The sequence below is a fragment of the Homo sapiens genome, chromosome 1 (genome assembly GCF_000001405.40).
Source record: "Homo sapiens chromosome 1, GRCh38.p14 Primary Assembly".
Classification (NCBI taxonomy): domain Eukaryota; kingdom Metazoa; phylum Chordata; class Mammalia; order Primates; family Hominidae; genus Homo; species Homo sapiens.
The window spans coordinates 248,029,961-248,045,625 of NC_000001.11; the positions used below are offsets into that span (position 1 = coordinate 248,029,961).

Sequence of the window (15,665 nt, forward strand, 5' to 3'; positions counted from 1 at the left end):
TGTCCAAAGTCTCAGTGGACAATCCCCAGTGAATACCAGCAAAACAACTGTTAATCTCATTCTCCAGCTAAAAAGGACTGGATTCATGGTTGCTACTGAATTCCAATGAAGGTCTCTGAAATCTCGTGTGTAGGGAAGAAAAATGAATATATGCATTTCTTTAAGCAATATTCTTAATGCTTACTCAGAAAAATGAATTTGTTCCTATGATGACTGTAGGACTGCCGTCAGCTAAGCAAAGGCACTGAGTGTTTGGAAATGAGGAAATAATAAAGGTACTAATTATAATTGTATTTTTAAATTTTTATTGATCACAGCGAAGAAGGGACTCTGGCAAGTGCTTAAGAGGACTTTGTTTCAGAAATAGAATTGAGGTGAATTTCAGCACTAATGACTGTACTTTCTCTAACACCATTCAGCAGAAATATTGGAGTATGAAATGCAGGCAACCAAAAGTGATTTTGCAACTAATTCATAAATGTGTTTTCTGGAGGGGAAGGGAAATGATGGTCAATGGAAGAGACAGGGATACATTATATTAGACTATGCTTTCATGGGCTCAAGTGAAATTAAAGAACCCACATTCACAATAATTATTGTAAGGGGTAACATTTCCTTGTACCTACTTGGTTGGTGTTTTGTTTTGTTTTGGTTTGATTTCTTTTGCCATGAGTGATGTGCGATTGTACGATGCTCATTATAATCTTAATGCTGCTTCTTACTTTGTGATCTAGAGAAGTTCGCTTACAAACTCTGAATCTCAATTTTTGTCATCTAAGATGTCGGTGGTGATGTCAATGTAAAGAGCTTTTTATTAGGATTAAAACCAATGGAATCACGGAACAATCCTGACATATTGCACGTGCCAGTGTGTGGAGATAGTCAATAAAAGTTCATGCTGGTATCATTCCATTCATGTAGGACATCACTGGGGTTGAAGGCTGGTTTTTCTACTTGTGATGAAAATATCCTCAGAAATTTTTCTGCTCTCTTTTTCCTCCTGTGTATAACATCATTAATGCTGATGCCTAGGTATATACATTTTAGGAGAGTTACAAAAATGAAAGCAAGTAGAAATGTTTTTAAATAGGCTTAAAATATTTGTTGCTATTTTGGTGGATAAAAAACTAAGGGACAGAACCCACGTGGATTTATTTTTACATAAGAAAAAAATGTCCTCTTCACATTACTGAAACAGATGTATAATAAATATCCTCTTTGCATTACTGAAACAGATATATAATGGCTGAGACTGCTTTCTCATTAGGGACAGGGCTCTATTTTTTCTAACAATAATATTATATGGTAGAATTAGAGCCTTGGAACATGAATAATCAAAGAGATGCTACATTGGTGTTCATGAGATATTGTAACATCGCAGAACACATCTCCTGCCCCTCAGCACTTGTAAAGTCCTGTTAACAAGAGCAAGGTCTGGTAGAAAGAAAGACTTTTTCTTCCAAGCTTAGCTGAGGGGAAGCAGGACAGGCTTCTGCCTTAATGGGCAGTGCTTCCCCTTCTGGGGCAGTAGGCAGGGTCTTTTAATGGGGTCTTGGTGTGAATGACATGCAGGGGGTGAGGAGATGGGGTCCAGTGACTTGCTTCTGATGTATTTTCTATCCAATGGTCTGGCTGGCACCACCGCAGGCAGAGCTGGGCTGTAAATTGAGGCAATCTCCTAGTGGGAGGGAGTTTTTGGGGTGCCTGATTTTCTTCAAGGTTCCTTCTCTAGAACTTTTAAGTAAACACAAAGTCAAATAAGCTTGCCTTGTAGAATGTGTCTGGTGGAGAGTGTAAAGGATAGATTTGCATTCCTAAACAGTTAAGTAAGAGGTAGGGGGAGATCGGAAAAATAAATTTGTTATTTTTCTTTTTTAAAAATAGGGTACTCAGTTATAATATGGCATTACATATGAGATCTGATGTGTCATTTAATATTCTGACATATATTACTTTTCCTCTTTTTAAAAGTAGGATAATAACTCTCATGGAAAGTTTGTCATCGACTGCCCTATATAAAATACAAATAATAGAAATGTTTGGAATGTTAATTGTGTTAGTAATTTCAAATAGTACATATTCTAATTGCCAATAATTAAACTACTAATATAAATTCAAACTATTGCATCAGTCTTAATGCTGATCACATATTGTTTCCAAATGACATGTATAAAAAGTAATTTGTTCTTCTAAATTGTCCCTCACAAATAACCAGAGGTCATAAAATAATTGAAAATAAATTGCTCTGTAGAGGCTCAGAAACTTGCCTGAATTTTCTTAAAATGTATTTGGACATCCAAATATGGAATAATTTCAGTATATTTAAATGTTTTTATTATTTTTTATTTCTTATTTCATACATGAGATAATACATATTATCTCATGTATTAAATATACATAAGATAAACTGCACCATTTAAACTATTTTAAGTGTTCAGGTCTGTGGCACTAAGTATATTTATATTGTTCTGCAACCATCCCCACCAGTCATCTCCAGAATAGTTTCATTGTCTCCAACTAAAATTTTGTTCTCTACACAATTATTCTCCTTGACTCCCTTCCCCCATCCCCAGGGGTCCAGCATTCTACTTTCTGTCTCTATAAATTTGACTACTCTGGGTACTTCCTGTACATAAATTCATACAATACTTGCCTGTTTCTGGCTTATTTTGCTTAGCATAATGTAATCAAGTTTCATCTATGTTGTAGCATGTGTCAAAATTTCTTTCATTTTAAAAACTGAATAATATTCCATTGTATGTACTCATTACATTTTTTATTGATTTCTCTGTGGATGGACACTTAAGTTGTCTCTGCCTTTGGGGTATTGTGAATACTGCTGCTGTGAACGTGGGCATATAAGTATGTTTTTGTGTGTCTTGTTTCTGTGGGTCCACATTCAGAAGTGAAATAGTTGGAACCTATACTAACTCTGTTTAATTTTTGAAGAAATTACTATACAGATGGTCCAGAAACACAATAATTTGACAACTTTTTGTCTTTACTATGCATTTATAAAAACATAAAACCCTATTGTAAATCAAGGAGCATCTGGAATTACAATGGTTTGACTTACAATATTTTAACATTGAGATGACTTTTTCAGGATAGTAAATGTATATTTTACTTATAATATTTTCATAATGGGTTTATCAGGATGAAACCCATCATAAATCGAGAAGCCTCTCAATCATTTTCCACAGAGGCTGTACAATTTCATTTTGCCACTGACTATACTTTTATGGTTTTAGCTCTTACACTTAGGTCTTTGATTTATTTTGACTTAATTTTTCTATATGGTGTAAAGTAAGCATCCAATTTCAATATTTTGAATGTAGATATCTAGTTTTTCAAACACCGTTTGTTGAAAAGACTGTCCCTTCCACATTGAGTAAACTTGGTTTGCTTGCCAAAAAAATATTGCTGTGTATATGACAGTCTATTTCTTGACTCTGTTTTCTATTTCTTCTTCTTCTTCTCCTTCATTTTTTTTTGAAACAGGGTCTCACTCTGTCACACAGGTTGGAATGTGGTGGTGTGATCTTGGCTCACTGCAACCTCTGCCTCCTGGGCTCAAGCAACCCTCCCATCTCAAGCCCCCAAGTAGATGGGACTACTGGTGCGAGCCACCACACCTGGCTAATTTTTGTTTTTTTTTTTTTGTACAGACAGGATTTTACCATGTTTTACTGGCTGGTCTCAATGTTCTGAGCTCAAGCAATTCTGCCTGCCTTAGCCTCCCAAAGTGCTGGGATTTCAGGTGTGAGCCATGGCACCTGTCCTCTCTTTTCTTCTATTGTTATACATGTCTGGCTTTATACCAATGTCATACTGTTTTGATTTCTGTAGTTCTTGGAAGTGGAAAAATTCAAGGATGCTCACTCTTACCTCTTCAACATAGTATTGGAAGTCCTAGCCACAGCAGTCAGAAAGAGAATGAAATAAAGGGCATCCAAATCAGTAAAGAGGAAGCCAAACTGTCCCTCTTTGCTTATAATATGATTGTTTACCTAGAAAACTCTAAAGCCTTCTCCAGAAAACTTCTAAAACTGATAAAAGAATTCAGCCAAGTTTCAGGATACAAAATTAATGTTCACAAATCAGCTGCAAATAATAAACTGCTTAGGAATATACCTAACCAAGGAGGTGAGAGAACTCTATAAGGAAAACTACAAAACACTGCTGAAAGAAATCATAGACGAAACAAACCTATGGAAACACGTACCATGCTCATGGATAGGTAGAATCAATATTGTGAAAATGACCATATTGCCAAAACAACCTACAAATTCAATGTAATTCCCATCAAAATACCACCATCATTCTTCACAGACAATTCTCAAATTCATATGGAACCAAAAAGAGTCTGCATAGCCAAAGCAAGACTAAGTGAAAAAAACAAATCTGGAGGCGTTTGGTAAGTTTTAAAATCAGAAAGTATCAGTTTTTCAATTTTGTCCTTAAAAAAACGTTTTCCAGATTTTTCGACTATTTAAGGTCCTTTGAAATTCCATAGAAATTTTAGCATGGTTTTTCTATTTCTGAAAAAGATTTATCATTAGAATTTTCATAGATTCCATTGAATCTTTAAGTGACTTTGGATATTCTTGACATCTTAACAGTGTTAAGCCTTCCAGTCTATAAATACAGAATGTATTTCCATTTATCTGTGTCTTCTTTGATTGTTCTAATCAGCATTTTGTCATTTTTCAATATATAAGCCTTTTACTTCCTTGGTTAGGTTTAATCCTTAAGTGTTTCGTTTCTTTCTGATACTATTGTAAATAAAATCACAATCTCATTTTTAGATTGTTTATTGTTAGTGTATAGCCACTTGAAGCCTAGGTTCAGAACAGACAATTTTGCTTCTGACACTTTCTGTGAGTCACAGCAAATTGTGGGTGTATAGGAGTGCAAAAGGTTTTGGCTGTTGATGTTGCATGCTGCAATTTTGCTTATTGTGTTAATTATTTATAACAGTTTTCTTTGCGTGGAGTCCTAAGGTTTTCTACACATATAGTTATGTCATAAACAAATAAAAATTATTTCACTTCTTTCTTTTGAATTAAGATAACATATTTATCTTTCCCTTTTTTTTTTTTTTTGTTCAATCGCTTTGGCTGAACTTCCAGTAATATGCTGAATAGATGCCGTGAAAGTGGACATTTTTGTCTTTCTCCAAATCTTAGACTAAAAAGTGTCACTCTTGGCCAGGCACGGTGGCTCATGCCTGTAATCCCAGTACTTTGGGAGGCCGAGATGGGCGGATCACGAGGTCAGGAGATCGAGACCATCCTGGCTAACACGGTGAAACCCCGTCTCTACTAAAAATACAAAAATTTAGCCAGCTTGGTGGCAGGTGCCTGTAGTCCCAGCTACTTGAGAGGCTGAGGCAGGAGAATGGAGTGAACCTGGGAGGCGGAGCTTGCAGTGAGCCGAGATCGCGCCACTGCACTCCAGCCTGGGTGACAGAGCGAGACTCCATCTCAAAAAGAAAAAAAAAAGTGTCAGTCTCATATTATGATGAAGCTGTGGGTTAAATTCTTAACTGTGACATAATTTTTACATCACTTTAATGTTTTATTCAAGTAATGCGTAGACATGGTGACAACAGTCCACAGGCTAAAATATTGGACCCATAACAGACCCTTCCTGAACCCAAAGGTAAGGACTTCAAATTTTCTTACCAGTTTTTCCCTATTTTTGTCCATGTATTTTCAAACAATATGCTTATCTGCTAATGCTTGATTTATATACCCCAAATACCAGCCCTTGACTCATGACATAGGCCACAGTCAATAGTGACCTGCTTCCCCCAACATCACTACCCCCACACTCATTACCTTTCTCCCATTCTGTCAACATAATTACATTCCACTTTATATCTGCAGTAAGGGGTTGACAGCATCATCTCCTCTTATGAAATTTATTGATTAAATACATAAAATATATACTCTTGTAAATCCTGATGGTGATACATATATACATAGATTTCTTCTGATTATTATTACTACTATTTCTCTCAAAAACTTATAATTAAAATTTTTAGAATGTTTTCTAGAAGACAGAATTTTCATGAAATATTTTACTAAAAATATTTCTCACTTACTTTGTGATTTTACATGCCATCTGAATATGGTGGCTAATATATTCCAGTTCTGAGAATTTTTGTATGGTATTGAGTTTATTATTATTTGCTATGTGCATTTCTGGGAATGCCTGTAAGTATATGTTGGTCCTGTTGCATTAATTTTCTAATATTTTTGTCTCTTCTAATCTTTTCAGTTTTTTTTTCCTTCTGATAGATTTTTCACTTTCGTATTTTGAAACTTTCATTTAATGCGGTATCAATTATTGTATCTTTAATTTCAAAGAGTCATTTATTGTTACATTTCACATCCTTGCATATAGCTAATGATATTTATTTGGTGGATTTTATAACATATCATAGACATCTTCATTCCTGAAAATAGGAATTCTTAATTTTAAAAACTCACTCTTTTTGCAGGTTTGTGATAGTTTTAACTCAGTGTACATACACGTGTATTGATCCTTAAGTGAGTGTTCATCTTTGTGTGTGTGTGTATAGATGTGAGTTTGCACACTGTGTAGATCTTACTCTTTCATATTGTTACACTTCCTCAAAGGTCGGCTGACCTTTGGCTCTAAAATAATTTTCAAGCCTAAAAACTTCATTCCTTTTATGTATCCTGTGCAAAGTTGTCCAGTGATGTCTTCTATCTGGAGAAGAATACTCGAACCACCTCTACCCAGAAAACTGTCAGGTTGCTGTTTCCTTTTTTCCATTTAAGTGAATGGTCATTTCTCCAAATCCTGTCTTTTGAAGATGTAAAGTGATTTATTGTTTTTGCTTCCCTAATGCTTAGATTACATTATACTTTATGGATCTTAACAAAAAATTGATAAATATACTTATGATCCCTTCATATGAATGGGAGGATCCCTAAAGTCTATGTAATCTAAGCATGAGGGAAGCAAAGACACAGAATATACATCGTATACGGGGAGAGCTTGAGCAGAGACATGGAAGCTAAAATGAACTTGGCATATAGATATTGAGATAGAGAGTCTGCATTAACTTGAGAATTCAGAAATTGGATGAGAAGGCAAAAGAGAATGGACATTTGATGGTGGTGGACATTCAAAATCAAGACTATGAATTACATTTCATGAAAAAGGTACTTAAAATAACAATTCATTCTACATTTTTAAGTAGAAGAACCAAATAATGATGTCTAACTTAGAGAAAGTTTGACTTCAAATTATTATGCAAAGACAATTCAAGAAGGAAATATAAGTTCCTCCAAATGAATCATAGGCTGCTGCAGTTCTACAAGTAAGTCTTAAAGAATAAATTTAGTGAGAAAAATCATCCAGAAAAAGTAATGCTAATTTATTCATAATATGGATCCATAGCATATGCATTTAATTTACCTTCCCATGCGTATGTTTTAAGCATAGCACATGATCTTAATGGCATCTGAGATTGTGTTGGGCATCAAACATTCATATCTTTTTGAAGTTGTAAGACAAATGATTTTTCCTATAAATGTATATATTTCTTAGAAAAACTTTGGTTATAAATATTTGTCTCATCAAATATTAATCTCTGTGTAAGAAAATAATTTTTTTCTAAATAGAATAAATGAGTTCATCATTTAAGTGTTGTAAAGTTCTATAAATAATTCACAGCCTTACTAAACTAAGGATTTTTAAAAACAATTGGCTTACTATTCTATAAGTAGTCCCCTCTCATTCACTGTTTTGCTTTCCGTGGTTTCTCCTGTAATCAAATGCGGTCTGAAAATATTGCATGGAAAAGTCCACAAATGAACACTTCATAAATTTTCAATTGGTTTTCAGTCATAGCCCAACGTCACATCACAGTGCCTACCTTGTTCTCCTCACTTTATGTCATCATGTAGACATTTTGATTTCCCATGAAGCATTTTGTCATCACAAGAAAAATGAGCACTTTTTCAATATGATGGTTTGAAAGAAAGAAAAATATAGATTGCATTCACATAAGTTTTATTACAGTATATAGTTGTAATTGTTCTATTTTATTTGTAGTTATTTTTGTTAATCTCTTCCTTGCCTAATTTATAAATTAAAGTTTATAATATGCATTTATGGATATAAAAATAGTTTATATAGGGTTCAGTATCAACCCCAGTTTCAGGCATCCACTGGGAGTCTTGTAATGCAGCCACTGTGGATAAAAGTGAATTACTGTTCTTAATTTACCCTTTTGTCTCCCTTCAGGATGGATTGTAGGAATTCCCCATGGAAAATTACAATCAAACATCAACTGATTTCATCTTATTGGGGCTGTTCCCACAATCAAGAATTGGCCTTTTCGTATTCACCCTCATTTTTCTCATTTTCCTAATGGCTCTAATTGGAAATCTATCCATGATTCTTCTCATCTTTTTGGACATCCATCTCCACACACCTATGTATTTCCTACTTAGTCAGCTCTCCCTCATTGACCTAAATTACATCTCCACCATTGTTCCAAAGATGGTTTATGATTTTCTGTATGGAAACAAGTCTATCTCCTTCACTGGATGTGGGATTCAGAGTTTCTTCTTCTTGACTTTAGCAGTTGCAGAAGGGCTGCTCCTGACATCAATGGCCTATGATCGTTATGTGGCCATTTGCTTTCCTCTCCACTATCCCATCCGTATAAGCAAAAGAGTGTGTGTGATGATGATAACAGGATCTTGGATGATAAGCTCTATCAACTCTTGTGCTCACACAGTATATGCACTCTGTATCCCATATTGCAAGTCCAGAGCCATCAATCATTTTTTCTGTGATGTTCCAGCTATGTTGACGCTAGCCTGCACAGACACTTGGGTCTATGAGAGCACAGTGTTTTTGAGCAGCACCATCTTTCTTGTGCTTCCTTTCACTGGTATTGCATGTTCCTATGGCCGGGTTCTCCTTGCTGTCTACCGCATGCACTCTGCAGAAGGGAGGAAGAAGGCCTATTCAACCTGTAGCACCCACCTCACTGTAGTGTCCTTCTACTATGCACCCTTTGCTTATACCTATGTACGTCCAAGATCCCTGCGATCTCCAACAGAGGACAAGATTCTGGCTGTTTTCTACACCATCCTCACCCCAATGCTCAACCCCATCATCTACAGCCTGAGAAACAAGGAGGTGATGGGGGCCCTGACACAAGTGATTCAGAAAATCTTCTCAGTGAAAATGTAGACATACGTTCTGTGTTAGAGTCAAAGCGCTAGGTTCATATCAACTTAGTAGTGTACAGCAGTGAAGAAAAACATTATTACATGCCCAGTGTGTCAAACAGAAGTTAATCTAGAAGAAATTTGTCTTTTAATTTAGTCTTGACAATATTATAATACATATTAATACATATTCTAAGACATCTATTTTGATTTTGTTTGTGTGTGGTTTTTGTTTGTTTGTTTGTTTGTCTTTTTAATGGATTTTGGCTCTTGTTGCCCAGGCTCTAATGCAATGGCGCAATCTCAGCTCCCCATAACCTCTGCCTCCTGGGTTCAAGCGATTCTCCTGCCTAGCCTCCTAAGTTAGCTGCGATTACAGGTGTGAGCCACCATGCCCTGCCTGTTTTTTTTTTAATCAAATATAGGTCATATATTTTCTACTAAATTGTGGGCAACAGGGTTTCATTAACATGTAGAAATCAAAACAATAAAGGTCCAAACTAATCATATCATTCAGCATAATAATTACATAATAGTTGTTTATCTCCCATTATTATAAAAATAAGACAAAAATAACAAATTAGTTAAAATTACTGAATCTAATTGAATATTAAATAGTTTTTATTTACTCTCAACTGGTATGTATGTCTTCTTCTTTTTCTTAAAGTAATGTTTTACTAATAAGTTTACCTGAGGATAAATAATTATGTTTGTGGAGCAGCCAATTTGGCTTTAGAAAAACAAGAGTTTCTGTATAAGAAGTTCTATAGAAGTTACAGTCTATAGACCCTCTTAGACTATAGTTGACTTAGTGGAGTGTGGAGTAGGTTATTTGAATCATTTCCCAGTCACGTCACAACACACTCAAGATTTGCCTCCTCAGTTGCCACGGGTATTTTCATGCAAGACATTCTCTTCTGCACAATTTTATTTCCACTTACTCTTCTCATAAATCAATAGGACTATTCAGCTTGGATTGGGATCAGCTCCTCTGCTCCACTATTTTTATACCTGCTTAGGCATGTGCTTAAAAGGATCAACATTATTTCATAAAGGTTATCTGCTTAGGTCCATTCTCTGAGTGAAAGGCCATTGCTCTCCAGAAGAGCCCATTCCTGAGAGACTCTTTTATCTCTGAGGAGAGAAGGCAAGAAGGAAGGTAGAATGAGCAAGTAAGAAGAGCCTCATATTATCCAAGTGACAGCAGTGGTGAATGACTGAATGGTCCTTGAGCAACACAGATTTGAACTGTGCAGGTCCACATATATGTGGATTTTGTTCTGCCTCCACCACTCCTGAGACAACAAGTACAACCTCTCCTCCTCTTCCTCCGCCTCAGCCCACTCAACGTGAAGACAACAATGATGAAGAACTTTATGACAAACCTCTATCCCTAAATAAATAGTAAACATATTTTCTCTTTCTGATGATTTTCTCAATAAGATATTCTTTTTTAGCTCACTTTACTGTAAGAGTAGAGTATATAAGACATATAAGATACAAAGTTGTGTTAATTGAATGCTTATGTTATTTGTAAGGCTTGCTGTCAATAGTAGGATATCAGTAGTTAGGTTTTGGGGAGTTCAAAGTTAAATGCATATTCTACTGCTTGGCGGTCAGTGACCCTAATTTCCGCGTTGTCCTAGAGTCATCTGTACTACAATTGGAATAATCATTTTCAAACAAGAACATTAACATTTGAATAGGAGATACAAATATGGATCTGGATATACTCATTTCAATTAAGCATTTAGAGTTTACTAGAGTACTGAATAATTTAAATTTTGACTTATAGAATGGCAAATGTTTATGACTTTCTTCTCCTCTAATTTAAATTAAGTAGAATTTTCTCATCATTAGGACTGTATGAGAATGTCATAATAATATGAGAAAAGGTAGTAGTTGCCTGATGTTGAAAGATTTACCTAATCTCACATAAATAACCAAAACAGCATGGTACTGGTACCAAAACAGAAATATAGATCAATGCAACAGAACAGAGCCCTCAGAAATAACGCCGCATATCTACAACTATCTGATCTTTGACAAACCTGAGAAAAACAAGCAATGGGGAAAGGATTCCCTATTTAATAAATGGTGCTGGGAAAACTGGCTAGCCATATGTAAAAAGCTGAAACTGGATCCCTTCCTTACACCTTATACAAAAATCAATTCAAGATGGATTAAAGACTTAAACGTTAGACCTAAAACCATAAAAACCCTAGAAGAAAACCTAGGCTTTACCATTCAGGACATAGGCATGGGCAAGGACTTCATGTCTAAAATACCAAAAGCAATGGCAACAAAAGCCAAAATTGACAATTGAGATCTAATTAAACTAAAGAGCTTCTGCACAGCAAAAGAAACTACCATCAGAGTGAACAGGCAACCTACAGAATGGGAGAAAATTTTTGCAACCTACTCATCTGACAAAGGGCTAATATCCAGAATCTACAATGAACTCAAACAAACTTACAAGAAAAAAACAAACAACCCCATCAAAAAGTGGGTGAAGGACATGAACAGACACTTCTCAAAAGAAGACATTTATGCAGCCAAAAAACACATGAAAAAATGCTCACCGTTACTGGCCGTCAGAGAAATGCAAATCAAAACCACAATGAGATACCATCTCACACCAGTTAGAATGGCAATCATTAAAACGTCAGGAAACAACAGGTGCTGGAGAGGATGTGGAGAAAACACTTTTACACTGTTGTTGGGACTGTAAACTAGTTCAACCATTGTGGAAGTCAGTGTGGCGATTCCTCAGGGATCTAGAACTAGAAATACCATTTGACCCAACCATCCCATTACTGGGTATATAACCAAAGGACTATAAATCATGCTGCTATAAAGACACATGCACACCTATGTTTATTGCGGCACTATTCACAATAGCAAAGACTTGGAACCAACCCAAATGTCCAACGATGATAGACTGGATTAAGAAAATGTGGCACATATACACCATGGAATACTATGCAGCCATAAAAGATGATGAGTTCATGTCCTTTGTAGGGACATGGATGAAATTGGAAATCATCATTCTCACTAAACTATCACAAGAACAAAAAACCAAACACCGCATATTCTCACTCATAGGTGGGAATTGAACAATGAGAACACATGGACACAGGAAGGGGAACATCACACTCTGGGGACTGTTGTGGGGTGGGGGGAGGGGGGAGGGATAGCATTGGGAGATATACCTAATGCTAGATGACGAGTTAGTGGGTGCAGTGCAGCAGCATGGCTCATGTATACATATGTAAATAACCTGCACATTGTGCACATGTACCCTAAAACTTAAAGTACAATAATAAAAAATAAATAAACAAATAAATAAATTGCAAAAAAACAAAAAACAAAAACAAACAAGCAAAAAAGACAATAAAATAAAAGACAAGTGCTTACCAAGCACTTACTTCACTGTGAGGGACACAGACCATCACATGTCACATAAAATGATGAGACAATCTAGCAACTGCAAGTTAACTTAGGTCTTTTGTTCTTTCATTGTAATGTATAAAATTAATCATAATATTTTATCAATCTTGTCTACATTAATATTTTAAAACTCTCTTTCTCATATTTTATAATCACTGCCTTGCTCCAGATCCTCATCCTCTCTTCACTAAAGTTTTTCAAACTAAATCAAAATATAATTTGAAATTTGATATTATCAGCTAAGATTCTTAACTAAAAACAACAAAAATAAATTCATCGTAATTAAACAGAAAATATAATATTTTAAGAAGATGCAAAGGCTTGCCAAATCACCAAAAAATGGACACTAGTAAGGTCTGAAAATCTGCCACCATGAGCAGTTTCCAATATGTGCTTGATAATGAGTTCTGTGAAGTCACCACTCTTGCTCCTTCTGGGTGCCATTCACAGCCCTAGAAACTTGGTGAATTTATTTCTGCGGTGTCCAGGTAGCCTTTGAGGATTTGCACCCGCCCTGCTGCTTTGAGCTACCCATTCCCATGTTAAAATCTGGGATCCAAAAATCTAATATAGACTCTCCACCTATATACAATAGCCATAGCTGAAAGTCAGGTAGAGAAGTAAGTATTTGAGTTCTATCAGAGACAGTGAAATGTTTGCTTTCTGAGGCATGTCAAAAGAGAGTTCAGATACATAAAGGATGGTAAGTAAATTCTGCACTATATGTTGAGGCAACAGTCCCACGGCCACAGATTTATCTATTTACATGGGCCGATATGAAGGAGATATGGAATATGTGAGAAGTTTGTTATATGCATGATACTTGGAGAAATATTCATGGGAGAAGAAAAGAGTAGACATGATTTGTTTTGTATTTCTCAAGCAGGCCAACAAATTTCGGTGGCCCTATTTGGACAGACATTGAATGGAGTTGCAAGAGAGGCAGATAGATGGACTAGACATGAAAGAGTTTGTGAAACTTACTGGAAAGGGGTCCTGATCCAGACCCCAAAAGAGGGTTCATGGATCCTGCACAAGGAAGAATTCAGTGCAGGTCCCCAGTGCAAAGCAAAAACAAGTTTATTAAGAAGGCAAAGTGTGAAAGAACAGCTACTCCACAGACAGAGTAGGGCGTTCCCGAAAGTAAGAGGAGGACGTGTCCACCCTAGGTACAATACTTGTTTATATATAGAATAAAAAAGAGCATGGGGAGATGTGCTCTGCTACTAGGGTTTGTGATAAAGGATTAATTTTCTTAATTAGTATATTTTTCAAGAATCAATATTATTATCTTTAAAGAAAAATTAAGAATGCCTTTGTTCTTAGGATGTCGGGATATCTGGACACTCCCAAGTCTGGATCTGTTTAGTAAACATTGTCAATCTGTTTCCTTAGCCGTAAACATCTAAAGGCTCAAAATACCAAACTTTCTAGAAATATCAAACTATCTAGGAATACCAAACTTTCTGGGAATGCAGCCCAGCAAGTCCCCGGCTCATTTTCCAGCCCTCACTCAAGGTGGAGTCGCTCTGGTTCAAAAGCCTCTGACAAAACGAGTGGACAATAATTATGTTACCAAGATTGTAGCCTCCCAGTGCAAATCTCAGTTTCTCTTTTTTCTGTCCTTCAATCCAGACTGGCTTTCAGACACAAAAAGAAAAATACTACATGATCTCCCTTATATATTGGGCCTAAAAATAAATGGAATACATAGAAACAGAGTAGAATGCTGGTTGCTCAAAGTTAACTTGTCTAAGAAACTGACTCAGTGCAGGATGCAGCGTCTTCATCTCCCTGTCTCATGACGTCACCACTCACTCTCCACCAATCAGCAATACCCACACTTTAGCTCATCACGCATCCGGACTCCTTAAAAACGCCTTCCCCGGCCGGGCGCGGTGGCTCACGCCTGTAATCCCAGCACTTTGGGAGGCCGAGGCGGGTGGATCATGAGGTCAGGAGATCGAGACCATCCTGGCTAACAAGGTGAAACCCCGTCTCTACTAAAAATACAAAAAATTAGCCGGGCGCGGTGGCGGGCGCCTGTAGTCCCAGCTACTCGGGAGGCTGAGGCAGGAGAATGGCGTGAACCCGGGAAGCGGAGCTTGCAGTGAGCCGAGATTGCGCCACTGCAGTCCGCAGTCCGACCTGGGCGACAGAGCGAAACTCCGTCTCAAAAAAAAAAAAAAAAAAAAAAAAAAAAAACGCCTTCCCCAAGTGTCTCCAGAAGGCTGATTTGAAGCTCCCTTTCTCTTCCTCCTTCAGCTGACCTATGATTATTAAACTTTCTCTGCTGCAACTCCCACTGTTTTGGTGTTTTGGTCTGCTACCACTCCATGGGCAATTGAACCCTGTGGGCCTGTAACAATCCTCCTGCCTCAGTCTCCCCATAGGTGGAATTACAGGCCTGTGCCACTGTCTCTTGCTCTTTTACAACAGATTTGACATAAATGGTTATCATCTGAATCTTGTATCTTTGGGACATAGAATGGGGTTTCTTAATAAGTAAATATGACTATGAAATTAAAGAACTATGTGATTTAATGAATAATTCAATTGCACTGAACACAGACATTTAAAAATGTAAAATAAACAGCCCAGTTTTATTTACGTTCCTCATTCTAATCTCTTCTTTCAGAATAAACCAAGTTTTGACCTACTCTATGCTTGGTTTTGTGCTTTCTACTGTAGATATGTGAAATAGTCAATTACTGCTTCCAGAACACCCTCAGGGAGAAGTAGCGTATTTCAAGAGTAAGTTGCTGACTCATATCCACCATATTTGCATACTTGACCCTCGTGGGTAGTTTTGAGGTAAACCTAAAAGTCTTTCTTTTTTACAGAAATTCCCTTGAAGTCTGTCTTACCGCATCAAATAAGGATTCTTATCTCCTCTTTCAGCGCAAATAGGTTTTGTCTTCTGTCTTTTGAAGATGTGAAAACAGTTACCTGGTTGCACTAGACATGGCACCTACTATTACGTTAAAAATC

The 15,665-nt window shown here is 36.6% G+C and overlaps 2 protein-coding genes across 4 annotated transcripts in view; both read left to right on the plus strand.

Moving 5' to 3' along the window:
• OR2L13 (olfactory receptor family 2 subfamily L member 13) overlaps positions 1-15,665 on the plus strand; it is a 163,987-nt gene that overhangs the window by 92,784 nt on the left and 55,538 nt on the right. The gene's annotated exons all lie outside the window — the stretch shown is intronic.
• Positions 110-12,345, plus strand: OR2L2 (olfactory receptor family 2 subfamily L member 2). 2 transcript variants are annotated; one of them, NM_001385855.1, is made up of 3 exons: positions 110-275; positions 5,590-5,664; positions 8,287-12,345. In NM_001385855.1, the coding sequence occupies exon 3, from the start codon at positions 8,308-8,310 to the stop codon at positions 9,244-9,246; it is 939 nt and encodes a 312-aa protein (NP_001372784.1). In that variant the 5' UTR covers positions 110-275; positions 5,590-5,664; positions 8,287-8,307; the 3' UTR covers positions 9,247-12,345. The 2 variants fall into 2 exon arrangements, with proteins under 2 accessions (NP_001372784.1, NP_001004686.1); NM_001004686.3 differs by lacking the exon at positions 5,590-5,664.